Source organism: Homo sapiens, chromosome 5, assembly GCF_000001405.40.
Source record: "Homo sapiens chromosome 5, GRCh38.p14 Primary Assembly".
NCBI classification, from domain to species: Eukaryota; Metazoa; Chordata; class Mammalia; order Primates; family Hominidae; genus Homo; species Homo sapiens.
Window position 1 is genome coordinate 174,685,042 of NC_000005.10, and position 26,879 is coordinate 174,711,920.

The 26,879-nt window shown below is 45.6% G+C and overlaps 4 annotated features.

Moving 5' to 3' along the window:
• Positions 7,494-7,994: an enhancer, noted in NCBI's record as "NANOG-H3K4me1 hESC enhancer chr5:174119538-174120038 (GRCh37/hg19 assembly coordinates)". NCBI's record gives its function as "activates a minimal SCP1, AML or CMV promoter by ChIP-STARR-seq in naive H9 embryonic stem cells {active_cell/tissue: H9 hESC(naive)}" and the evidence as "EXISTENCE:reporter gene assay evidence [ECO:0000049][PMID:30033119]".
• Positions 7,995-8,495: an enhancer, noted in NCBI's record as "NANOG-H3K4me1 hESC enhancer chr5:174120039-174120539 (GRCh37/hg19 assembly coordinates)". NCBI's record gives its function as "activates a minimal SCP1, AML or CMV promoter by ChIP-STARR-seq in naive H9 embryonic stem cells {active_cell/tissue: H9 hESC(naive)}" and the evidence as "EXISTENCE:reporter gene assay evidence [ECO:0000049][PMID:30033119]".
• Positions 23,148-23,648: an enhancer, noted in NCBI's record as "H3K4me1 hESC enhancer chr5:174135192-174135692 (GRCh37/hg19 assembly coordinates)". NCBI's record gives its function as "activates a minimal SCP1, AML or CMV promoter by ChIP-STARR-seq in naive H9 embryonic stem cells {active_cell/tissue: H9 hESC(naive)}" and the evidence as "EXISTENCE:reporter gene assay evidence [ECO:0000049][PMID:30033119]".
• Positions 23,649-24,149: an enhancer, noted in NCBI's record as "H3K4me1 hESC enhancer chr5:174135693-174136193 (GRCh37/hg19 assembly coordinates)". NCBI's record gives its function as "activates a minimal SCP1, AML or CMV promoter by ChIP-STARR-seq in naive H9 embryonic stem cells {active_cell/tissue: H9 hESC(naive)}" and the evidence as "EXISTENCE:reporter gene assay evidence [ECO:0000049][PMID:30033119]".

Here is a 26,879-nt window from a genome sequence, read left to right on the forward strand (position 1 = left end):
AAGTTTCATGGGGCTCATTTCAAGTTCAGAACTATTAAGGAGGGTGCTGATTTCAACATTCTCAGTTATTCAGTGGAATATTATTCAGCCTTAAAAAAGGAAGGAAATCCTGCCTTCTGCAACGACACAGACAAACCTGGAGAACATTCAGTGAGGTAAGCCAGTCATAATAGAATGACAAATACAGCAGATTCCACTTACCTGAGGTATCTAAAATAGACTCAGGGAAACAGAGTAGAATGGGGGTTGCCAGAAGCTGGAGGGAGGCTGCAATTCAGTGAGTATAAAATTTCAGTTATGAAAAATGGATAGGTTCTAGAGATCTGCTATACAACACTGTGTCTATATTTAACAATAAAATAAAAAGTTTTTTTTTTTTTTAAAAAGTAGAAACAAACCAGATGGCCATCCACTGATGAAGGAATAAATTAAATGTGGTATATACATGCAAATGACATATTATTCAGCAATAAGAAGGAGGGTAGGAGTCAAACATGCTGAAATATGGATAAACCTTGAAAACATTATGCAAGGTGAAAGAAGCCAGTCCCAAAAGACTACCTACTGTACAGTTCCATATATATATATATATATATATATATATATATGGAAAGTCCAGATTGGGCAAAGCTGAGGAGACAGAAAGTCGATTAGTGATTGCTTAGGGCTGAGGCAGGGTTGGGTATGAGGGAATGGAGAATGACGGCTTATGGGTAAAGGATTTCTTTTGGGGGTTATAAAAATGTTCTAAAATCGATTATGGTGATAGCTTCACAACTCTGTAAATATATTAAAAGCCTAATGGTATACTTTAACTGGGTGAATTGTATTATGTGTGAATTAAATCTCCATAAAGTTGCTTTTAAAATACAAAAAACAAAATTGTTGTCTATGTCTTTGGTGGTTATACGGACTCAGCTTTCCTGGATATATATCCAGAAATGGGATTGTCTGTCATAAGCTACCCAAGTGTTTAGTGTTAGTAGATACTGTCAAACAGTTTTCCAGATCCAGGACAGTTTCACCAATTCACAGTCCCCCAGTGATACGAGAGAGTTCCAGTCGCTCCCCATTGTCATCTGTCTTTTTCATTGTAGCCATTCTGGTTGAAAACATGCATGTTTTGGCCGGACGCTGTGGCTCACTCTTGTAATCTCAGCACTTTGGGAGGCTGATGCAGGAGTATCACCTGAGGTCAGGAGTTGGAGACCAGCTTGGCCAACATGGTGAAACCCAGTCTCTACTAAAAATACAAAATTATAGGCGCCTGTAATACCAGCTACTCGGGTGGCTGAGGCAGGAGAATCACTTGAGCCCAGGAGGCTGAGGTTGCAGTGAGCTGAGATCGCGCCTCTACACTCCAGCCTAGGCGACACAGCGACACTCCATCTCAAGAAAAAAAAAAAAAGCATGTTTTTGAATAAGATGGAACTGGCTTTGCTCGTGGTCAGTTTGAGAAAGATGAGTTCCTGAGCAGGTAGCTTCAGTTGGAAAATAATTGTCCTGCTTCCCCATTTTCAGTCATGAGGATAATGTGCCTGATAATGTTTTTAACATCATTTTATTGAGGTATAATTCATGCACATAAAATGTACAATTCTTAAGTATATAGCTCAGTGAATTTGTACACACAAAAAAATGAAGAGACCATCACCCAGACAAACATAGTAATCAACATTGTAGAAAGTTCCCTTAGGTTCTTTTCAAACCACTCCCCAAGAGATAACCACCGGTCTCATTTTTTCACCATACATTCATTTTGCCTGTAACAGAACTTCACATAAATAAAATCACACAGTATGTCTTGTATGTGTGGCATTTATTTGCTCATCATCATGTTTTTGAGATTCATTTTTCCTCTACCTTATTCTTTTTTATTACTGCTACTTTATTATTATTATTTTTTTTTTGAGACGGAGTCTCGCTCCGTCACCCAGGCTGGAGTGCAGTGGCGCAATCTCGGCTCACTGCAACCTCTGCCTCCGGGTTCAAGCAATTCTCCTACCTCAGCCTCCCGAGTAGCTGGGATTACAGGCATGCGCCACCACCCCCGGCTAATTTTTGTATTTTTAGTAGGAACAGGGTTTCACCATGTTGGCCAAGCTGGTCTCGAACTCCTGACCTCAGGTGATCGGCCTGCCTGGGCCTCCCAAAGTTCTGGGATTACAGGTGTGAGTCACCACGCCCCACTGGCTACTTTATTATTTTTTATTACTGAGTACGATCCCATTCTGTGAGTATACCATAATTTATTCATTTAGACATCTGCATTCTTTCCAATTTGGAGCTATTATGACTGCTGTCAATATAACTTGTATATTGTATATATATAGCTGTATATAACAGCTATAAAACTGCTGTCAATATTCTTGTAGAAGTTTTTATTTTTCTTTTTCTTGAGTAAATACCTAAGAGTAGGATTGCTAGGTCACTTAATAAGTACACATTTAATTTTAGTATTAAAAACTGCCAAACTGTTTTTCTAAGTGGTTGTACATTTTACATTTCATATTGGCAGGTGTGAGCTCTGGTTGCTTCATGTCTGGGCCAACATAGATGTTGGCAGTCTTTTTGATTTTAGCCATTCTTATTACTGTATAGTGGTATCTCATTGTGGTTTTAATTTGCAAATGACAGTGACTAATCAGGTTGAGTATCTTTTCATGTGCTTATTGGCCATTTGCACATTTGCATAACTTCTTTAGTGAAGTGACCAAATCTGCTCATTTGTTAACTGGGTTGTTTGCTTTCTTATTATTGAGTTGAAGAGGTTTTTTTTTTTTTTCAATTCTGATTGCAAATCCTGTGTCAAATGTACACATTGTGAATATTTTCTTTCAGTCTCTAGCTGCCTTTTTATTTTCTTAACAGGGTCTTTTGACAAAGGTTTCTATTGTTTTTTGTTTTGTTTTTTAAGAAAAGCTTATGGGTTTTGCTTTTTTTTTTCACCTGCTCCTGCACAGGTGAAAATATATATGTGTGTATTTTTTTACAATATCGATATATTTAACTTTCTATTTTACAGATGAGAAAAGTGAGGCCCAGAGAGTGCAAATGCGCTGCCCAAATCCGTATACCCAGTAAACAGCAGAGCCAGGACTCAGTGCCACAACTTCAAAGCCCAACACTCTGTCCAGCTGCAAATTTTGTTTCCAATCAGACCCAGAAAACCAAGGGCAATTGCACAAGATCGTTTGTAGTAAACCTGTTATTTAAGAGGAACGAAGACTGAGCCTCAGGGTCTAGGAGTAACTTATAGGGGCTTCTTGTACTTATGGATAGAAAATACATGGATAAATAGAGATATTAAAGGAAGGGATGCCCTACCCTCCCGAAAGAAATAAAAATGTGATCACTCTCGGCACCGTAGTCTCTGATGAGAACATTTAATCAATTAGCATTGCCGTTGCCAAAACTTGCTTCCCACCGAGCCCAAAAGCCGCCGGCGGCACATCCCAGCGGCCTCCCTCCTCCCGGGCTGGGATTCGCCTCTGCAAGAAACGTCATGTTTTCTCTCCCAGACATCGTTCCGGGAGCCCCAGATGTAAAATCAGAGGTCTCTTATCTGGCATTATTGATCTCTGTGCTAATAAAATGTCAGTCCCCAAGGGAAAACTTAAAAAAAGAATCGTGCTGTCATCTCTGTTCCTGCGGGGACAGGCACCCATTTGTCGGCTCACTTCATTGCTCCGTCGGCCGGGCTACTATTTCAGGGCTCCCTGGAAGAGTAAGTCCCTGAAATGGGCAGGGACACGCTTTCTATTTCCCCTTTCACAGGGGCTCTCTGGAATTCAAGGATGAACGAATGGGAAGAAATCAACAGGTATGCAGCACTAACCAAATGCTGGGCACTTTACCCACACCACATACCCCGAAATCCTCCTGGAATCCAGGCACGGAGGGTCACCACGTCCGTTTTATTGATGAAGAAACTGAGGCTAACATTTGTGAATCATTTGATACTAAGGACTCGGCAGTGTCCCATTTATTCCTCATGACAAGCCACATTTTACACAGGAAGAAGCTGAGGCTCAGAGAGGTGAAGTGATATCCCCAGAGTCTCACAGCTGGCAAATGAAAGGGCTGATGCTGGAACCCGAAGCCGCTCCTAGCCATCTCGATGCTGAGCATGCGCTGTTTGTTATCCCCCAGTCACAGGCACTGAGGCTCGCACTGAGCCTATATTACTGGGTCCAGATGCTCCCCCAGCCTCCTTTGGTTCTGAACCTGCCCTCCCAGCCTTAGCAACTGTGTTCTCTTAGAGTCCAAGTCGAGCCAAAGGAGACATGTTGCATTTTGATGCCCCTTGTGATTTAAGAAAAAATAAAAATAATGTATGAATAATTGTATAACTTCTCCAGCAGAGATGAATAGGGAAGGCTTATCTATGGAAGCATCATATGTTATTATTGTGACCATCTAACATGATGACCACATTGTCAGAAACAGACTCAGACGGGGCAGAAAATAATCTAGCCTGCTTAAACAAAATCATTGAGAAGCATCATGGTAATAGCTAATTATCAATAATAAAAATAATACATAGAATCAAAGCCAGCAGCAAATATAGCAAAACTATATTCATCTATAAGAAACGAAATAAGAAGCAGTCGTACGGCTGGGCGTGGTGGCTCATGCCTATAATCCCAGCACTTTGGAAGGCGGAGGAGGGTGGATCACCTGAGGTCAGGAGTTCAAGACCAGACTGACCAGTATGGTGAAACCCTGTCTCTACTAAAAATACAAAAATAACCCCAGCTACTTGGGAGGCTGAGGCTGGAGAACTGCTTGAACCTGGGAGGCAGAGGTTGCAGTGGGACGAGATTGCGCCACTGCACTCCAGCCTGGGCGACAGAGGGAGACTCCATCTCAAAAAAAAAAAAAAATCATCGTAAATGAAATAAAATAAAACATAAAGCAATAATTTAAAACAGACTAAAATCAGCAATAACAACAATAATAGTAACAATAGCAACTAATTATGTGCCAGGCACTCTTCTAAGCACTTTTCGGGTATCCATTATTTAAGCCTTAAAACAACTCTATGAGGTAGGAAGTCTCATAAAGCCCATTTTATAGGTGGGGAAGCTGAGGCATCAGGAAACCAGGGGCTTGTTTCTCAGAAGGACAGTCCCCCATAGGGCTCCATTTCTCAAGGCAGAAGTCCAGGAAGGGTAGGACAAAAACTGGGTCTCCACAGTTTGGGTAGGCACCTCGCTTTCGGGATTCTCTGGGGACAACCAGAAAACACAAAGGGGCGAGGACCTGGTAGGCTCCTAAATGCTTGTGAGCAAAAAGCCTGGTCACAGCTTAGAGGGATGTCGTCCTCTAAACACTGAGTCACTGAGTGACCAGCTGGCTGCTCTGGCCAGGCCCTGATTGGGGCAGGAGGAACTGGAGATGAATGGGTCAGCCTCCTCGCCCTGCAGGATCCTGCAGCCTCCTGCAATAGACCAGGCTGGGGCAAGCGGCAGGAATCGAAAGAAGGGAAGCGATCCGAGTGGGTTGGGAAACAGCCAAGAGTGAGATCCTGCTCAGGGAGTCCTGGAAACGCACAGCTTTTGACCTTGGACTGTTTGTTTTCAAAATAAGCTCAGCTTCATTATCTGTTCTTTCTTTCACATAAAAACCTGACCCTTCACAGTTCCATCCCCCCATCTTTTTCTCCAACTAATTCCTGGCTCTCCCAGCTCTGCCTCCCAACTCCTCCTTGCCCACCCTCATCCCCTTGTTTTGTGATTTAAGAAAATAAAAATAAATGAATGAATAATTGTATTTATTTTCCAGCATAGTTGAATAGAGAAAGGTAAGATATTGAAGTATCATATGTTATTATTGTGACCATCTGAGATGATGACCACATTGTCAGGGACAGACTGACGCAGGACAGAAAACAAGACACACCCTAGACACTCTCCTTCTCAAGCACCCCACCCTCTCCTTTTATTTTATTTTATTTATTTATTTATTTATATTTTTATTTATTTATTTTTGAGATGGAGTCTCACTCTGTCACCTAGGCTGGAGTGCAATGACGTGACTTTGGCTCACTGCACCCTCCGCTTCCCAGATTCAAGTGATTCTCCTGCCTCAGCCTCCCAAGTAGCTGGGATTACAAGCACCTACCACCACACCCAGCTAATTTTTGTATTTTTAGTAGAGACGGGGTTTCACCATGTTGGCCAGGGTGGTCTCAAACTCCTGACCTCGTGATCCACCCGCCTCGGCCTCCCAAAGTGCTGGGATTATAGGCATAAGCCAGCATGCCCGGCCCACCCTCTCCTTTTATAAACTTCAGGCTGAGATCCCTTTTTAGTGTTTCCTCATCCAGCAAACGTTCATGGATACCTGCTCTTTACTAGATCCTGCCTGATGTTGACTAGGGCCACAGAAATAACACAGCCCTCTTCTCCTCTCCAGGAACCCCTCTGTTGGAGGGAGAGGCAACAGCCCCAGAGGTCCTGCCTTGAGCTCTCTACCAGGCAGCTGCCTGCCCATGCCAGGGAGGCCCCTCATCCTCCTAGTCCGGGACACTGTTTTGTGGCTTCAGAAGTTCAATGTCATCGTCATTGCTTTATAAAACTACGTGGCTATCTGTGGCATATTCCTCCCCACACACGTGCTGTTCCCCTCCAAGGAGACAAGTGAGATGTGGGAGTATTAATTTATTTGGAGTTAACATAACACTTAACAGATGGCACAAGAAAAACTGTGTCTGTGGGGGTCACATGACAAGGGCATTCGATTTAATCACATTTTATTTTAACAAGAGAGATTTAAATAGGGTGGGGCACCTCTGAGCATCCTGCCCTGAGAAGCACAATCCTAGTGTTTAAAGATAAAAAAAAATTCACTTCATGTGTTCACATCATACCAAGCAAGTACTTCATCTGATGTCCAGAGCAATAGGAACGTGTTCCTGCTGCTGATGAGCGTTTTCACCATGGAAGTGATACAGTGATATTTACACAGCTACAGATACAGCACTTCATGGAGGATTTCAGCAGTTTTCAGAGTAACTTTGACCACAGGTGATTTCTACCTTTTCTGCAAAGTGAGGAATTTAATAAACACACACGCACACAACGCACACACACACACACACACACACACACACACACACACACCCCAATGCATCAAGATTTGTCTTCCCAATAGGCATTTTCAGAAGGGGAATGATGTGGCCCTTAATTACTTCACAAAATGTACAGCAAATAAAGATCAATATAATGACTACCTATAAACCCAGCAATGTCATCGAATCAATCCGTGGCTAATGGGTTAAAGATTAACGCGACCACAACCACATGCTGGCCTCAGCTGTAAACTGCTGGGGCTAAGTAAATAATAAAGGAAATAAGATCATTGTCACCCTGTCCATTAGGTGCATGGCTGATGATCTCCTTAAAGTGCTCCTCAGAGCCTAATGAGGTCATTAGGGTCACTTCTCTCTGGGCCCCGGACTCTGCGTGTCCTCCTGTGCAGACGAGGAAACTGAGTCACACGAGAGGAAGCAATTGCTGATAGTTCACAGTTGCCACGCCCTCCTCATGCCTTTACAGACATCCCAGGCCTTTGATCAAACTAGGGAGAGGTTAGAAGAAAGGCGAGACGGGCCTCAGAAGAATTTGGATCTGTTGAAAAAGGATTTTAGGACAAGAACGAAACAAGACGCGTTTTCATGGGAACGCAAACCCAGTAACTTCTCAGAGCCAGGGCTTCGCAGAGAAACTGCATCAAAAGGAAAAGAGTCTGGTCCCAACCTTTATTTCTCCCAAGGCATGAAACTCCTGATTTCAAACCACTTCTCTTTGCCTCTGAAAGAAAACAAGAAAAAGATGGGGCTGTGTAGTTCTTCCAACAGTGAAAAAAAGAAAGAAAAGAGAGAAGAAGAAAACTGTTTCGGGTTTCGAAACAGAAAGGGCCTCCTTCCCCTTTATCGATAATTTTGAAAGGGTCGCTGTAAGACACTGACTAATGACACGTGACCTTTGGATTCTCCACGAGGCAGCAGGCGCGGGCCCCGAGCCCAGCGGGGACCCCTCTGCCAGTTAGGGGTCACTCTCTCCATTCAACGCTTTATTAGCCCCCTCAAGTCTCAGGGCGAAGTCCTGCTGCTTTGAGACGTTTACAGCTTTGATTGAGGAAAGCTATTCAGGGCTGGGGCGAGGATCTGTTTGTTTTCAGGAGGAAGCCTCTGTGAGCCTGCCCCCTCCCCCCTGTGTTTCCAGAGTTGCTGGAGAGATAAAAGCCATACCTCCTTTTGACCTTCATTGGACAGTAGGAGCCCCGACTCAGCGTGGAATAATAAAGGCATATCATGCTGCATAAATTATCCCGTGATTGACGCTCTTTCTTCCAGCTCTGACTTAAAGGGGGGTGTCGGGGGCTGGGGCAGGGAATGGGGAGGGGTTCGGTTTATTTACTCAAGCACCTACTGTGTGCTGCTGATGGGGAACTTCCTAGGCAAGTCATTGTCGCATTTCATCCCTACAAACAGTCCCAGGAGGTAAATATTATTTATCCCTGTGATGTGCGTGAGGAAATGGCAGGAAAGTTATGTGATTTTTTTTTTCAATAACCTACGGGAAGGCAGCAGCAGGCAACAGCGTTTGGCCGTGAGAATATTTTGACAATGCTTTTTTAAAAAAAAAAAAAAATCAGCTTTTTAAAATTTAGCAAAGTGTCATCTTTACCCAGTCCCTGGGACTGACCCTGACCCCTGGGTTGAGAGATGGAGAGAGGGGGGAGAGAGAGAGAAAGAGAGAGAGAGATGAGATGCAGGGCCAGGATGGCAGAGAGCCACCCATGGGTTACCTGTTTGTCCAGCGGTATTTATGGAACAGCAGTGTCTAGGCAAAAGGGACCTCGCCCACGAGAACTATGCATTGTAGGAGGGAGACCTAGAGTAAGTTATTTATGAACATGATTTTTGGACAATGTTAAGGACTTCGAGGAGAGGAAAGCAGGGTAGCAAGAGAGAAAGTGTCTCGGTAGAAGAAAGAGGCATAACTTTGGAGAGAGATGTCAGGGAACCCTCCACCCCAGGAGGTGACGTTTGTCCTGAATGGTAGGAAGGAGAGCACTGGCAAAGGGCCAGCCAAGCAAAGTCAACAGTACATGAGTCTATGTACTTAGGAGGTGAGAACAGACTCGACATCCAGAAGCTGAAAGAGGACCCATGGCTAGAGGGCAGGGAGTGAGGGGCCAGGCACCCCGCAAGCTCTCCAGGGCCTGGGTTTTATTCTCAGTGCAAACAGAAGCAACCGGAAGGTTTTGAGTAAAGGAGTGCGGTGAAGCCAGAAGCAAGACTAGGAGCACGGAGCCCAGAGCTGTCTGTGGCTCCCGACTTCCCTGCGTTCTGACAGGTCAGTTGGGCCTCGTCAAAGCTTCTGTGTTCAGAAGTTCTTTCCTTAAGAACAGCTCGGGGAATCACCACGTGCTGTTCAGACTGTCCCTGGAGTTGGAGCGTGACTTTGGGGTATCCTGAAGTCATACCTGTCCCCTCCCTCCTGAGGATCAATAACTTGAATGCTTTGGGAGTCACCAGGGAATGTACATCTGAAGCGGGGTGCGAGGAGCCCTGGTGAGCTGGCAGAGCCCTGGTGCTCTGTCCCCAGTGGCGGCCCCTACTTGACTCTTGAAATTGCACCACAGGGAGGGGAGAGGCCGACCCTAGAGCCGTCAGAGCTTCTGATTCTATTAGAGAAGCCAGAAATCCAGATATGTGTGCAAACTCTTAGTTTTTGAATGTCGACATCAAATTCAAATTAAACTAACATTCCTGAGCTCTGTCCACGAACCCTGAAGCCAAAGAGTTGCATAAGACAAGACCCCAGCCTGCAAGAGCCTCCACGCCAGAGTCACTACTGCCTCTTAGCTAACCAGAGCAGAGAATTAAAGGTAAAAGATGCAAAAGAAACAGATGGGTCTCACTCTTGCATTCTAAAGTGTTTTGGTGAAGTGGGTCTATTTGGCAGTCTGCTGAAATGGTGGACTTCTCAGAATATTTAAAAATGCATGAAATCAAATAACAAAGGTGCCCGATTATATTTAAGTACAGTTATCAAAATGTTGCCATAAGCTAATACAGGAACTTCTTTGTTAATGTATCAATCAACAAGATCTGAAGGCAGGCGCAGTGGCTCACCCCTGTAATCCCAGCACTTTGGAAGGCCGAGGTGGGTGGATTGCCTGAGCACAGGAGTTCAAGACCAGCCCGAGCAACATGGCTAAACCCCGTTTCTATTAAAAATACAAAAAAATTAACCGAGTGCTGTGGCACTTACCTGTGGTCCCAGCTGCTCAGGAGGCTGAGGTGGGAGGCTCGCTTGAGCCTGGAAGGCAGAGGTTATGGTGTGCCAAGATCATAACACTGCACTCCAGCCTGGGCGACACAGTGAGACCACTGTCTCAAAAAAACAAAAACAAAAACAAGATATGGTGCTGAGCCAATTACTTCCTTAATTTTGAAGTAATGATAAATAGAAACAATATTTCAAGATATCTGTAAAAGGCCGGGTGCAGTGGCTCACACATGTAACCCCAGCACTTTGGGAGGCCGAAGCGGGCGAATCATCTGAGGTCGGGAGTTCAAGACCAGTCTGGCCAACATGGCGAAACCCCATCTCTCCAAAAAAAAAAAAAAAATACAAAATTAGCCAGGCATGGTGGCACATGCCTGTAAACCCAGCTACTCCGGAGGCTGAGGCAGGAGAATCGCTTGAACCCAGAAGGCAGAGGTTGCAGTGAGCCGAGATTGTGCCATTGCACTCCAGCCTGGGCAATAAGAGTGAAACTCTGTCTCAAAAGAAAAAAAAAAAGATGTCTGTAAGAACTGTCAGGCGGCATGAAAACACATGGTGTCTACTGGTGGTAAAATTGCAGTTACTGGTCATGCTACTGTGGGTTGCTGGCAACATTCATAATGAAAGGAAATGAAACATTTTAGTTAGAGGATAACAAAAATAAAAATGTTATGTTTTCCCATGGAACCTCACAGATATTCTCTCTCTCTGCCCCCAAAGTAGTCCGTGGACCCCCAGTTTAAGAACTTCTACATTAGATGAGATTCTTTCACAGGTGGATTGCCAAAGAAGAAGCTGCCCTGCCCTCACCTCCCAATGTCAGGAAGTGTCTCCCCCAGCCCTCCAGGGACCAGGAGCCCTCCTGGATCCAGCCCCTCCCTCTCCATGCAGTGGACCACGGCCTTCCAGGCCCCTCAGGCTGTGTTCTGCTCACAGGGCCAGCTGCCCTTCCCATCACTCCTGCCGTGGCTCCTTCTAGCCTGGATGCAATCAAAGTCACTGTGTGCTTCATTCCAGGCCTTCCCACAGAGGACCTGGGATGGTCAGGGGTGGGACCTTGGGGTCAGACAAGGACAGGTTCAAATCTTAAATCTGCAACTCATTCGCGGTAAGATGGTGAACTGGCCACTTAATCTTTCAGCCTCAATTTCCCCCAACACTCATTTTCCACGGTTGTAGGGATTCAATGAAAGAACACTGTAAAATTCTTTTTTTTTTTTTTTTTTTTTGAGACAGAGTCTTGCTCTTTTGCCCAGGCTGGGGTGCAGTGGCTTGATCTCAGCTCACTGCAACCTCCACCCTGCCCCTGGGTTCAAGTGATTCTCCTGCCTCAGCCTCCAAAGTAGCTGGGATTACAGTTGTGTGTGCCATCATGCCCAGCTAATTTTTGTATTTTTAGTAGAGATGGGGTTTTGCCATGTTGGCCAGGCTGGTCTCCAACTCCTGACCTCAAGTGATCCACCCACCTTGGCCTCCCAAAGTGCTGGGATTACAGGCGTGAGCCACCGCGCCCAGCAGTACACTGTAAAATTCTGGCATATTTTAAACCCTCAAGACACAGTAGCTGCTTTAACTAGGGTTTTTATTACACTGGTGTGTCTCTGTTGCTTCCCACTAAAGCATATTAGCTCTTACTGAGACCCAGCCTAAACCTTTCTCTGTTCACTTTATTCAGGTCTCTTCTTAATGTCACGATATCAAGGGGACCTTCCCTGACCACTCAGTCAAAACCAGCGCCTCCCACTTCTGTCTCTGCTGCCTTACCTTACTTTACTTTTCTTCTTTGAGTTTAGTGCTATCTGGTATAGTATATATTTACTTGTTTATTTATGGTCTGTTCCATCCATACCAAAAGAATATATGCTCAGTGAAGACACGGATTTGTTTTCTTCACTGCTGTATTCCTTGTGCCTAGAACAGTATCAGATCCACAGTAGGCACTCTGCAAACATTTACTGAATGAGTGAATGAATGAATGAATGAAAAGCCTCTGCAAATATTTTCTCGAGGGCTTTTCAAAGAATTCAGTGAGATAGAATAACCAGAGCACCTAGCTCTGTGTCTGACATACCAATACTTACTTTTCATCTTCTTCCTTAACTTTTCTGAATTTCAGTTTATTCATCCGTAATATAGGAATACTAAGAATACTACTACTAGCATTAATCATAGCACCAAGACTACTTATCTCTTGGAGCTATTGTAATGTCTAAAACCAGAAAGCATTTTGTAAGCTATAATTCATTATATAGGTATGAGTTATTATTGCTATTATAAGAACTTAGGCACGTTATCGTCCCCTCTCTGAGCCTCCATTTTATCATCTATAAAATGGAGCTAATTTTATTTAATTTAAACATCTGCCCTTCCTTCCCTAGCTGAGTTATTGTGAGGAATGAATAAGATAATGCATGTTTAAATGCTTTGTAAACTATAAAGTACTATGCAGCTATAAAGAATAATTACCGAGGTACAGCACAGGGGCGGTGGAAATACCGTGGGACTTGGAATCCCAAATACCTGGGTTCAAGTCCCTGCTCTATCTCTCTCTTTCTTTCTTTCCTTTTCTTTTCTTTTCTTTTTTTTTTTTTTTTTGTAACAGAGTCTCACTCTGTCACCCAGGCTGGAATGCAGTGGTACAGTCTCAGCTCACTGCAACCTCTGCCCCCCAGGTTCAAGCGATTCTCCTGCTTCACCCTCCGGAGTAGCTGGGATTACAGGTGCCTGCCACCACGCCCAGGTAATTTTTGTATTTTTTTAGTAGAGATGGTTTTTCACCATGCTGGCCAGGTTGGTCTGGAACTCCTGACCTCAAGTGATCTGCCCGCCTCAACCTCTCAAAGTGCTGGGATTATAGGCATGAGCCACTGTACCCAGCCATATCACTTTCTAGTCCAGAAACTCTGGATCTTGGTTTCTGCCGTCTGCAAAATGTAGATAATAATGCTACTCACAATGCATGCTAAAGGCTCAGCGCCGGTGCAGCCCAGATCAGCCCCAGCGGTAGCTGCTTGTTACTGCCTCCCACAGGCCTTTGTTCAGCTGTCTGTGGCCTTCTCCTCACCAAGCCCAGCAAACCTTCCCTTTCCTATCAGTTGAACGGTGATAATTACACCAGCCCCTCGGGATGCTACGTTTTTAAATTAATATGTATAATGTGCTTGGAGATCCTCCCTTGAAGCAGGTGGGGAATGCACACAGATTCCAGAGTAGGTCTTGCTCTCTGGGGCTTCTGCTGGTGGCCGGGGCTTCTGCTGGTGGCCAAGGCCTCTGCTGGCCTCTCTAGGTGGGGATCTCCAAATGGCTCTAGGATCTAAATGCAGGCATCATTTTTGGTGATAAGAAAGATGCCATTTTTCTGGAAAAGCTCAGCTCCACGCTCCCAGCAGATGAGTCCTATCACTCGGGTCTGAGTTGATCTGAGACACGTACAAGAGGCCTCAACCGAGGCCTCCTTGGTTATGTTTGTAGAAGTTGGGAGATGTAGGAAACAAAGCAACAAATGTAGTTCCAGATGCACCCTTACTTGTCTTAACTCAGGGCTGCAATTGTGAAGCAAGCCGAGGCTCCAAGATGGGCTGATAGTCCAGGCTAGAAATTAAGGCTGGAAGACCAAGCCAGAGGGCTTCTGACCCTCAAGACCGGGCCTGCCCATTGCTTACCGCAGGCAGGACCTGATGGGCCAGTGGGAAAGCCAGTTCCATGCAATCCAAGGCAGAGCTTCCCTGAGCCCCTGCCTGTACTGGGCCCGGGGCGATCCAGCGAGGAGTTTGTTACTCACATTAGTGATAAACTCCCAAAGTCACTGAATGGATTCAAGGTTATTCTTGGAATTGTTACATTTCCACACACTTACGTTCCCAGGAATGTTTGAAAACCCAGGAGAGTGGGTTGAGTGCCTCACGACAGGGCATAGCCCAGTTCAGCTTTGCCATGAGCCTGGGAGGGTCTGGTCAGGATGCCTTGGGGTCTGTGGTTCCCAACGCCAGCTGTGCATGGAAATCACACCAAGAGGCAGTTTCATTTGTTTGTCTAATGCAAACAAAATATGCCCATAATCCCTCTACCCTGATAACATCTTTTACATTAGTATAACCATAAGTAATGACAGTACCTCTATGTAGCAAGGAAATGCAAACACAGCAGCAAAGTATAAAGAAGTGAAAAATAGGCCTCTTTCACCCCTATGCTAGAACCCATCTCACTACATGTAAATTATTGAAAGCTTCCTATTTATTGTTCCAGAAAACAGGTTTGTTCTCCCTCCATCTTTTTTTTTTTTTTTTTGAGATGGAGTCTCGCTCTGTGGTCCATGCTGGAGTGCAGCGATATAATCTCAGCTCACTGCAACCTCTGCCTCCTGGATTCAAACAATCCTCCTGCCTCAGCCTCCCGAGTAGCCAGTTTACAGGCGCAGGCCACCAGGCCCAGCTAATTTTTGTATTTTTAGTAGCGATGGGGTTTCGCCATGTTGGCCAGGGTGGTCTTGAACTCCTGACCTCGGGTGATCCACCCACCTTGACCTCCCAAAGTGCTGGGATTACAGGCATGAGCCACCGCGCCTGGCCCTCTCTCCAACATTTCTTTGCCTCTGATCTGGTCCAGGCTCTCTGCTCTCATCCCCTCCCACCATCCCCATCACTTACAGCTTTCCAGCTACCTGACCTTAGAGGTATTTCTTCAACAAATCCAGCCAGTTCTGCTGAGAGCCTTTGCACTTGCCTTTCCATCTGCCTGGGACACTCTTCCCACAGATGTGGCATCTTGGCTCACTCCCTCAGTTTTTTCAGGTTTCTGCTCAAATGTCACCTCATCAGAGAGACCTTCTTGAACCATCCTGTTTTAGAGTTACCTCCCCAGCTGGCCTTCACCTTACACTGTTCTAATTTCTACTTTCTTCATAGCACTTACCACTACTTAACACAGGAAGTGTATTGTCTACTTATTTATTACCTAGTCTCCTCTAGTGGCCAATCAGTTCCATGGACTTGGTCTGTGTGCATCACACACTTACATTCCCATAAGGGAATGTAAAAAAATTAGTCAAAACACAAACCGTTTTATTTTGGTTGCTTTTTGAGATGCAGTCTCGCTCTGTCACCCAGGCTAGAGTGCAGTGGTGTGATCTCAGCTCACTGCTACCTGTGCCTCCCGGGTTTAAGTGATTCTCCTGCCTCGAGTAGCTGGGACTACAGGCGCCCACCACCACACCCGGCTAATTTTTTGTATTTTTAGTAGAGACGGGGTTTCACCATGTTAGCCAGGATGGTCTCCATCTCCTGACCTTGTGATCTGCCCGCCTCAGTCCCACAAAGTGCTGGGATTACAGGTGTGAGCCACCGTGCCCAGACTGTGATTCACTTCTTGATCCTGAGTAACTAGAGGGGTACCAAATACCTAAGAGTCACTCAATACATTCTTGTTGCATAAGTATTTTTTTTATTTATCACAGGGATCACTTCCTGCCCCTTACCTTTTTCACTGATTTCTGGTATTCCTTTCTATAGCTGGATCTTCGGTTACTTAATGCATCCTGACTAATGGACACTTATGTCATTTACACTTTTTGTTATCAAAAATATGCTGCTGTGAATGTCCTTGGGTGTATAACCTTTCCATTCTCTTGTGAGTAGATCCTTCAGGTGAATAAATGTTGACCAGGGGAACTGCTAGGTCAAACAGCATGTGCATTTTTTTTTCTTGTTGTTGTTGTTGAGACGGAATTTTGCTCTTGTTGCCCAGGCTGAAGTGCAATGGCGAAATCTTGGCTCACCGCAACCTCCGCCTCCAGGGTTCAAGAGATTCTCCTGCCTCAGCCTCCCGAATAGCTGGGATTATAGGCATGCGCCACCACGCCTGGCTGATTTTGTATTTTTAGTAGAGATGGGGTTTCTCCAGGTTGGTCAGGCTGGTCTCGAACTCCCGACCTCAGATGATCCATCCGCCTCGGCCTCCCAAAGTGCTGGGATTACAGGTGTGAGCCACCTTGCCCAGCCAGCATGTGCATTTTACATTTTGACAGATATTGCCTAACTGATGTCTATTCGCCCATTTGAACTCATATCAGAAGAGTAAGAAAGTAACTACTCAATGCCCTCTGCAATGCTTAATCATTACAAACAATATGTTAGGGAAAAAACAGAAGCGTAATTTTGTTTCCTTTCTTTCTTTTTCTTTTTTCTTTCTTTCTTTCTTTCTTTCTTTCTTTCTTTCTTTCTTTCTTTCTTCTTTCTTTCTTTCTTTCTTCTTTCTTTCTTTTCTTTCTTTCTCTCTCTCTCTCTCTCTCTCTCTCTCCCCACCCCCTCTCTGTCTCTCTCTTTCTTTCATGAGACAGGGTCTCACTCTGTCACCCAGGCTGGAGTGCAGTGGTGCAATTACAGCTGACTACAACCTCAACCTCCCAGGCTCAAGTGATCCTCTCACCTCAGCATCCCAAGTAGCTGGGAACACAGGTGTGTGCTACCATGCCCGGCTAATTTTTGTACTTTCTTTTTTTTTTTTTTTTTAGAAATGAGGTTTTGCCACATTGCCCATGCTGGTCTTGAATTCCTGGGCTCAGATACGGGCGCTTCGGCCTCCCAAAGTGCTGGGATTACAGGTGTGAGACACTGCACAGGTCTTAGATTTCTTTAATCATAAAATGATTAAACATTCTTTTGTATACTTTGATTCTTATTATTTTGATTTCTGCAAACTGCTGAATTACATCCTTTTCCAATTTTCGTATCAAATTGTTCTTGTATTTATTTCAATCTTTTGTAAAGCAAAAAAAGCAAAAAAAAAATCCCTCTGGCATTTATGTTACAAATTGTCTTTGCAGTTTTATGGTTTGTGTTTTAACTAATTGTTTTTCGTAATGATTTTTTCATTTATATATAAGAAAGTTCTCATTCTTTTCTATGATGGCCCCTAGCTCTGCATCTTGTTTCAGATGCCCCGGGAAGCTCTTAAAAACAGATTTGGAAGCCACGGTGGTTCATATTTATAATTCCAACATTTTGGGAGGCTGAGAAAAGAGGATCACTTGAGGCCAGGAGTTTAAAACCAACCTGGACAACATAATGAGACCCCATCTCCACAAAAAAAATTATTTTATTTCATTATTTTATTTTTATGTTTTTTAGAGAAAAGGTTTTGCTCTGTCACCCAAGCTGGGGTGCAGTGGCACAACCATGGCTCACTGCAGCCTCAAATTCCTGGACTCAGAAGCAATTCTCCCACCTCAGCCTCCTGTAGCTGGGACTACAGGTGTTCACCACCACACCTGGATAATTTTTAGATTTTTTTGTAGAATCGAGGTCTCACTACGTTGCCCAGACTATCTACAAAGTGTGTGTGTGTATATTTATATATATCTATAGATAGATGATAGATAGATAGATAGATAGATAGATAGATAGATAGATAGATAGATTTTTTTTTTTTTGAGATGGAGTCTCACTCCCATTGCACAGGCTGGAGTACAGTGGTATGATCTCGGCTCACTGCAACCTCGACCCTCCACCTCCCAGGCTCAAGTGATTCTCTTGGCTCGGCCTCCCAAGTAGCTGGGATTACAGGCATGTGCCACCACATCTGGCTAATTTTTGTATTTTTAGTAGAGACGGGGTTTTGCCATGTTGGCCAGGCTGGTCTCGAACTCCTGACCTCAGGTGATCCACCCGCCTCCGCCTCCCAAAGTGCTAGGATTACAGGCGTGAGCCACAGCACCTGGCCAAATATATTTTTTTAATTAGCTGGACATGGTAGCACATTCCTACAGTCCCAGTTACTCTGGAGGCTGAGGGAGGCAGATCACTCGAGCCAGGAGTTTGAGGCTACAGTGAGCCATGATTGTGTCACTGTACTCCCATCTGGGTGACAGAGTAAGACTCTGTCTCAAAAAAAAAATAGATTCATGAACCCAACCCATACAACTCTGATTTGATGGTCTTGGGTTGGGGTTGGGAGCAGGTCTGTCCCTGCAGATGTGTGAGAATCAGTCACACATATACCACAGGAAGCAGTGCTCCTAGGGAGAGATGAGGCTGCAGTCCAGCTCCCTGCAGATCATGGTGGGGCTGGAGGAACAAGACCTGAGGGCAGCAAGATCCAGCAGAGGTCTGGGGGCTCTCAGGAAGGGCTTGCATCCAAGCTAGGGATCTGGGGGGTTGAATACAGAGGAGGAGGTCCTGGGGCTCAAGGGAGTAGACATAAGATTGCGATCCAGGGGCACTGAGTCCCCAGGCCTAAGTCTCCATGCTTTGTTCTAGATCTGTGTGACAGCAAGGTTGAAATGGCCTTGCTGGCCCTGCCTGCTCTGACAAGCACCAGCCAAGGAAGAACTGTGCAGGGTCTGGGTGTCTGCACTTAAAGGCTTCCAGGGCCCTGGCTGAGAGGAGTTGAGTTAGACTGGAGCTAACCTTGACCTTACTTTGCCTTAACATTGCCACCTGGAAAATGGGAACCACAGAGGCAAATAAAATTCTGGTTCTTCTTGCTTTACTGTTGAATTACTGGGTTTTAAGTTGGGTTCTGGTGGGGAAGCCAAGCATCCAACTTGTGAGGTACCACCTCCCTATCAGTTCAAGAGAAGGTGAGAGGCTGGGTGTGGTGGCTCACATCTGTAATCCTAGCACTTTGGGAGGCTGAGGCAGGTGGATCACCTGAGGTCAGGAGTTTGAGACCAGCCTGGCCAATATGGCAAAATCCTGTCTCTACTAAAAACACACACACACACACACACACACAAATTAGCTGGGTGTGGTGGCACACGCCTATAATCCCAGCTACACAGGAGGCTGAGGAAGGAGAATCGCTTGAACCTGGGAGGTGGAGGTTACAGTGAGCCAAGATCGTGCCACTGCACTCCAGCCTATGCGATAGGAGCAAGACTCCATCTAAAAAAAAAAAAAAAGGAGAGAAGGTGAGATTGAAGGTCTGAAGGAAGAAAGGACCCAGGTTCTTCCAAGGACAAAAGGCTGTCACCAGAAAGGAAAGCCACTCGGATTTTTCCTCTGGACTCTATGTGTTCCTCCTTAGGTGTAGCCAGCCCTGGCATAAGGATGCCAAGCGTAGGTGTACAGTGAGGAGGTGTGCAGGCCTGGTAAATAGGTGGCCTTCCAGCAGACCTGGGACTGAACCCTGCTCCACTGCTTACTACCTGATGACCTTAGGTGAGTTGCTTCACCTCTGTGAGCCCCAGTGTCCTTACCTGCCCTGTCTCCCTGGCAGACTTGTTGTGACAAGATAGACAATTAGACAAGATAAGGTGGGTGAAGCACAGTCCCTGAGCATGTCCTCAGTCAAGCCTTAGCTCCTTTCTCTGAGCCTGGCCTGGCCAGCTGATGGCACAGAGCATGAGTTTAGAGAATGAGGAGGACTACAGAGGGCTTGCCAATCATAGCATGCCTTTTTTTTTTTTTTTTTTTTTTTGAGATGGAGTCTCACTCTGTTGCCCAGGCTCGAGTGCAGTGGTGTGATCTCGGCTCACTGCAAGCTCTGCCTCCCGGGTTCACGCCATTCTCCTGCTTCAGCCTCACAAGTAGCTGGGACTACAGACGCCCCCACCATGCCCGGCTAATTTTTTTTTTTTTGTATTTTTAGTAGAGATGGGGTTTCACCATGTTAGCCAGGATGGTCTCGATCCCCTGACCTCGTGATCCACCCACCTTGGCCTCCCAAAGTGCTGGGATTACAGGCGTGAGCCACCGTGCCCAGCCCATTGCATGCCTTTGATGGCTAAACTACAGTGCATTGATCTGTTTACTTGGGCACATTAAAGCCTGATCCAACTTTTCTTTTTCATTTTCTTTTATGTTTTATATACAGATGGGGTCTCACTATATTGCCAAGGCTGGTCTAGAACTCCTGGCCTCAAAGCAATCCCCCTACCTCAGCCTTCCAAAGTCCTGGGATTACAGGTGTTAGCCACTGTGCCCAACTTTTCACTTTAACAACTGAAGTGAGCACATTTAGAGCCCAGCTATGGGAGAGGGGACTACGATCAACATCAGAAAGAGGTAGGCAGGCCTGCACACCTCCTCACTGTACACCTAGGCTTGGCATCCTTATGCCAGGGCTGGCTACACCTAAGGAAGAACACATAGAGTCCAGAGGAAAAATCCGAGTGGCTTCCTTTCTGGTGACAGCCATTCATCCTTGGGGCTCTGGGAGGGATAACAACAAGTTTCCAAGAGAGGAAAGCAAACATGTACAAAGGCCCTGTGGAGAGAAGCAGCAAGGTGCATTCTGAGAGACAAGAGAAGGCCAAGATACCCAGGGCACAGATGGTAAGGTGCAGAGGAGGGCAAGGTCCTCCAGGGAAGAAGGAGGCTGGCCTGGCAGCCAAGGCAAGAAATTTAGGGGTTACACTAACAGCACTGGGGAGCCATTGAAGGGATTTGAGCAGACGAATGACACAATCAGATTTGTATGTGTAATGAATCACCATGGCAGTCTTGTGGAGAAGGAGTTGGAACTGGTTTCATCTTCAAAATAGTTCTTATTCCGCTTCGCTCCACCTGCAGAATCGCCATCTTCTTCCGAGCCACCATCCTCTTTTGCCAGAACTGTGGCATCAGCCTATTTTTTCACACAGTCTCTCTGAATCCACTCTTGCCACCCTCCCTGCCTCTCTCCACACATACCCAATCCCATCTCATACAGCAGACAAAGAGGTCATTTAAAAATGTAAGTCATGGCCCGGCATGATAACCGATGCCTGTAATCCCAGTACTTTGAGAGGCCAAGATGGGGAGGATCACTCGAGCCTGGGAGTTTGAGACCAGCCTGGGCAAGGTGATGAGACTCCATCTCTACAAAAAAATATTAAAAAAAAAAAAATTAGCTGGGCGTGATGGTGTGCAGCTGCAGTCCCAGCTACTAGGAGGCTGAGATGGGAGGATCATCTGAGCCCAAAAGGTTGAGCCTGCAGTGAGCTGTGATGACACCACTGCACTCCAGCTTGGGCAACAGAGTGAGACCCCATCTCAGAAAAAAATAGAAAGTTAAAAAAATACAAATGTAAATCAGATTTTCTCTCTCTCCACCTGAAACATTAAATTCATGTCTCCCTCCAATTTAGAATAAAACCTCAACTCCTGACTGTGGCCCATGGCATCCTGGCCTTCTGGCCCTGCCACTCTCCTGTCACTCTTCCTTGCTGGGTTAGCTTCAAACACACTCTCTCTCTTTCACTGTCTCAAACACATCACGCCCTATCCCAACTGAGGGTCTCTACCAGTCCTTAAATCTGGAATGATTCTCTTCCCTTCCCAACACACACGCACTCTTCCCCTTGCCAGTGCTTACCGATAGGGGATGGGTGACTTCTCCAGAGCACTGTCCCTGAAACCCGCCACAATCTAATTTATGAATCTTCCCTCTGTTATTCTCTCACATAGATCCCTGCTCCTTTCCTTGGGGGCACTTGTCCTTGGGCTTACTGCAAAGTTAAGTTTTACTTTGTCTGTTAACATGTGGGGTTTGTGTGTGATTGTGTGCACGCTTCAGCCTCATAAGACTCTAGACCACACCGGTATTTCTGCCTGCCATTGTACCTTCAGATCCTAGAACCGTGTGGCCGGTGCTCAGTAGGCACTCGGTAAATATTTGTTGAAGAAAGAATAAATGAATGTCTGGGATTATAGCCTCTATAACTTGGCCTCCAAATATCTGGTTAGAGGAAACCAAAAATAATGCAGAACAAACCAAACTAGAGAGGAAAACCCATGGGGGCAAACCCTATAGTTTCCAGCAGTAAATTCTTGACCTTTTTGTTTCTCTTTCCAAGATTGTCTGTAAAAAGGGAAAAATAAGGTTTTTTAAAAACCCTCCACCAATTACCTCTGAGATGAGACTTAATATGCCAAGTTTTTGCCTAGAGCACATTTTTACAGCTGAGTAATAAACCCCAGAAAACATGCCTTATGATGGAAACATTGAACGTCGTCTGTTCCAGCAGGGCCACGGTAGCTGCCGAGACGGAGGAACATTCTTGTCAAAGAAGGAGGGAGAAAAGGAAGAATTGGATTGTGTAAATATTTATCCAAAGAAGCAGTGTTGTTGGTAATGAGGAATGTTGGCTTCCCTTCACAAACCAGATCTTGATTTGTTTTCTATCCCGATTACTTTTTATGACGCTTGGGTTTTCTTCACAGTGAAACGCTTGGGTGATAAGAGAGTGTGAGGGAGATTGGGAGAAACAGATATTTGTATACGTTGGCCCCCTTTGCAAACTTTAGAGGGCCTCCCAGTTTCATGCTCGAGACAAGGGTATAAATATCGCTGTCTTGCTCCCCATACTGCCTAGGAGACTCCAGAAGGAGGCATTTTCCAAGAAAGGGAATTATTTTTGGCTGCCATTGTGGTGCTGGAAACAGACCTCGACTTAAATTCAGAAAACCGAAGTTCGGATCCTACTTCACCCTGACAATAGCTGACTAAGCCCGAGCAAAGAGCTTGTTCCCTCCGAGCCTCAGTTTCCTCACCTGTCAGTAGCAAAGAGAAAACCAAGGCTATGTGCGGGTTGGTGGCACGCTGTCTCTCCACCCTTCTTCCTCCATATGTGCTACACCTGGCCAGCAAGGGAACCCCCTCTGAAATCAGTGCCCGGGTTCTGACCAAACCCGATCATGCAGGATGGATAGGAGATGAATCGTAGAAAAATGGAGGCAGGGCAACGAAAATGACCTCAGTCCTTTCCTGGAGTAAATGGGAAGACACATTCTATGGGAAATCATGACAACAGAATAGGTTCGTTCCAGCCGAATCCGACTTAGAGTTGACTTTTAAAACGCCTTTAATAGTAAAAGTAACGGAGCACTCAAGAAGATTTTGAAAACGAACTCACAGATTTATCCCACGACCCCAACACCCTCAATTACTTTCTCGTCTGCATATTTTCTTTCTGCCCATGTGTGGCCTGCACTTCCCCTTGTAATGGGAAACATGCTCCATGAGAAACGGAGGAAGTGAGCCCAAAAGACGCTCTAGGCTGCTTCTCTCTCTCTCTCTTTTTTTTTCCTTCATTTATTTATTTTTTACTATGTTTATAAACCATGCCGAGGAAGTCCCCTCCCCTAGACACCAACCTGCTTTTGTTTTTTCTAGGTTTTGTTGTTGTCGTTGCTGCTGCTGTATTTAAATTGAAATAAATTACCATTTCTTGAAAAAATTCATTTATTATTGATTTATTTATTTTTAATATGATACCAACTGGTTTTGAGCTCCCTCTCACCGTGGGAGTTTAGTCTCTGGCCCCGGCAACCTCTGCCAGTGGCAAGAGCTGACTTATTGCTGGTGTCAACACATGGCCAAGTTGGCTTCATCCTGAGCCCCGCACAGAAGCGCAGGAGCCTCGGCAGCTGCGCACAGTTCTAGCCGGCACTCAGGTTGCATTGTGCGGCATCGCCTGGGTAACCGATAGCCGGCCTCAGAAATGGAATAGGGTGGGAGCCGGGCAACAATTCCCATCACCCCGCCTCCTCCTCCTCCTCAAATAGTCAGCTGGTCTCTGTTAGTCATTTCAGTCAACGGTTTTCAAAAACCTCCGCTGCCATTTATTAAAATGCCTATTTTGTGCCTAAACAGGCAAATGCTTGCTGTAGTTTATCACGAATACTCCCAACAGTTCTTCAAGCTCGGTGTGATTACCTCCCCTTCTAAAGACAAGGAAAATGAGGATCAGAGAGGGTCAGCGACTTACCCAAGGCCACACAGCCCCACATTTCTGTCTGACTCTGAAGCCTGTGGTCTTCCTATGGCAGCGACGTCCAGATCAGAACTAATAAGCTAGCAAATGTGGTCTGCTTCTTTGAAGAAAAGACCTGGGTATTTTTGACTTGAGGACCTATTGTCAAAGTCAGAATGGGTAATTTCCATTCCACCTCTCACATTTTAATGCCCAGCACTGCTATTGCTAAATTCTTCTATTTGATGTCCATGAGCTTGGAGATCCATGTGACTGCTCAAGAATCAGTTCTGAGCTCATGCCAAGAGTAGAAATGTTAGTGACTGGGTCTGAGCTGCCCGTATTCTGCTCCATTGAGAATGGGGCTAATTACGAAGTCGGATGGATCCATTGTCAAGGAAACTTACCATATTCTCTTGGACCATTTAAGGGCTGAGCAAACATGCTGGCTGGACAGGTTGTCCTGTACTGATGGCAATCTCTGGTTCTCCCCAGGCCCTAAACAGCTGCCTCAGCTTCCCACAGAGTCTGGAGAAATCCTTCAGAACAAAATGATCCCAATCCTGGGCTTCAGGACTTTCTAAGAGCTCGAAGAAATTACAGGGGCCTGTGGGGAAATAAGTCTCCTCTACTGGTTGAGGAGAAGGATAGAGCCAGAAGATTAAAGAAAGGGCAATAGAGCAAAAGGTAGAGGGCAAAGGGAGCTGGAAAGAAACTCTCAAGGGCTCCCATGAGCATTAATAGGAATTCCAAACTCAGTATCAGCAGCCTGTCCTACCTGGCCCTTTTCTAGGAATTCAAGCCTTGGGAATTCCGTTACTGCTGCTGCTTCTAACACATCCATTGCCAAATGCTGTATCGGTTAGAAAGCAAATCAGTGAGGATTAGATGAAACAACACAGTTAATTATCCAGTTGCCTTGTGAAGTCCCTTGGGATTCCATTGGCAAGGCTGTATCCAAGGCTTGCCCTGCACAGTGGTACATCTGTCTGCCCTCTCTGCCCCGCCCACTCACCCAGACCGGGAGTGGATGGAGCAACACTGCTCTTCTGTTCTAAGTCGCCTGCTGCCTCGGCCCAGGACTTAGGTGTATGCGGCTACTGAAATGGAACTCTGAGCTGAGCATGGTGGCTCATGCCTGTAATCTCAGCACTTTCGGAGGCCAAGACGGGCGGATCACTTGAGGACAGGAGTTCGAGACCAGCCTGGCCAACATGGTGAAACCCTATCTCTACTAAAAATACAAAAATTAGTGGGGTGTGGTGGCGCACACCTGTAATCCCAGCTACTCAGGAGGCTGAGGCAGGAGGATTGCTTGAACCCAGGAGGGGGAGGTTACAGTGAGCTGAGATTGTGCCACTGCACTCCAGCCTGGGCAACAGAGCGAGACCCTGTTTCAAAAAAAAAAAAAAAAAGAACTCTGAGGACAGAACGTTTGGGTGGCATGGGAATAGCATGAGTATAGCATGAAGACAGCATGAAGAGAGACCACTGCCCATCAGTTTACCATGCAGACCTGCAGTGCCAGCGCAGCGTCCCCCTAATCCGGGATGTGTTAGGTAGCATCTCTACGTCTTCCAGAGTTCACTCTCGGTTTCCTCCCTGACTCTCCATTTCCAATGCCACTCCTTTCTTCCAGACTCTTCAGCAATCCCAGAAACTTTGCAGCAACCTCCTGCCTGGTCATATTGCTTTCAGTATTTTGCATAATGCTTCCCCGGATAGTTTCTTTTCTTTTCTTTTTTTTTTTTTTTTTTTTTGAGAGTGTCACTCTTTTGCCCAGGCTGGAGTGCAGTGGCACATCTCGGCTCAGGGCAACTTCTGCCTCCCGGGTTCAAACGATTCTCCTGCCTCAGCCTCCTGAGTAGCTGGGACTACAGGTACCCGCCACCACGCCCGGCTAAGTTTTTTGTATTTTCAGTAGAGACGGGGTTTCACCATGTTGGTCAGGTTGGTCTCGAACTCCTGACCTCAAATGATCCACCCGCCTTGGCCTCCCAAAGTGTTGGAATTACAGGCATGAATCACCGCACCCCACCCAGATAGTTTCTTAAAGAGGTATGTCATAGAATTCTATTACTCCCCTGCTCAAAACCATCCATGGCAGAAGTTAAAACAGAGCAATGATCTCCAGTGCTGGCAGAGAAAGGGGGAGCTGAACACTGCAAGTGGGCATGTGCCCTAGAGCAGGGTTTTTAGGAAGTCATCCAGCAGTGCCCATTCAGGTTAAAAATACACACACCTGGCTCCAGCATCTCAATTTTGGAAATTAAACCTTTAAAAATAAAAGTGTGGCGGGGCGCGGTGGCTCAAGCCTGTAATCCCAGCACTTTGTGGGGCCAAGGCGGGTGGATCACCTGAGGTCAGGAGTTTGAGACCAGCCTGGCCAACATGGTGAAACCCCGTTTCTACTAAAAATACAAAAAAATTAGCCGGGCGTGGTGGCATGCACCTGTAATCCCGGCTACTTGTGAGGCTGAGGTAGGAGAATCACTTGAATCCAGGAGGCAGAGGTTGCAGTGAGCTGAGATCGTGCCATTCCACTCCAGCCTGGGGGACAAGAGCGAAACTCCATCTCAATAAATAAATAAAAGAGTGTAACTATGAACATTTGCAAAGTTTTCTCTCAAGAATTGTTGGTAGCAGTAACAATTTGGATAAAAAATATAATAATATCCATCAATTAGAAAATGGTTAAACGCATTATAATATGCCACTACTATGGAATATAAAAAGAATGGATTGGGTTATTGATTGACATGATGAAACGTCTAGGATATGAGTTAAACAAGAAAGCAAGTTGCATAGGTAGATAGCTGCATATCACACATGCAGGTACACAAGCACACAAAGGCACCATCAATTTCCACCTTTCTGAATTTGTATCTGCTATTTTTGTG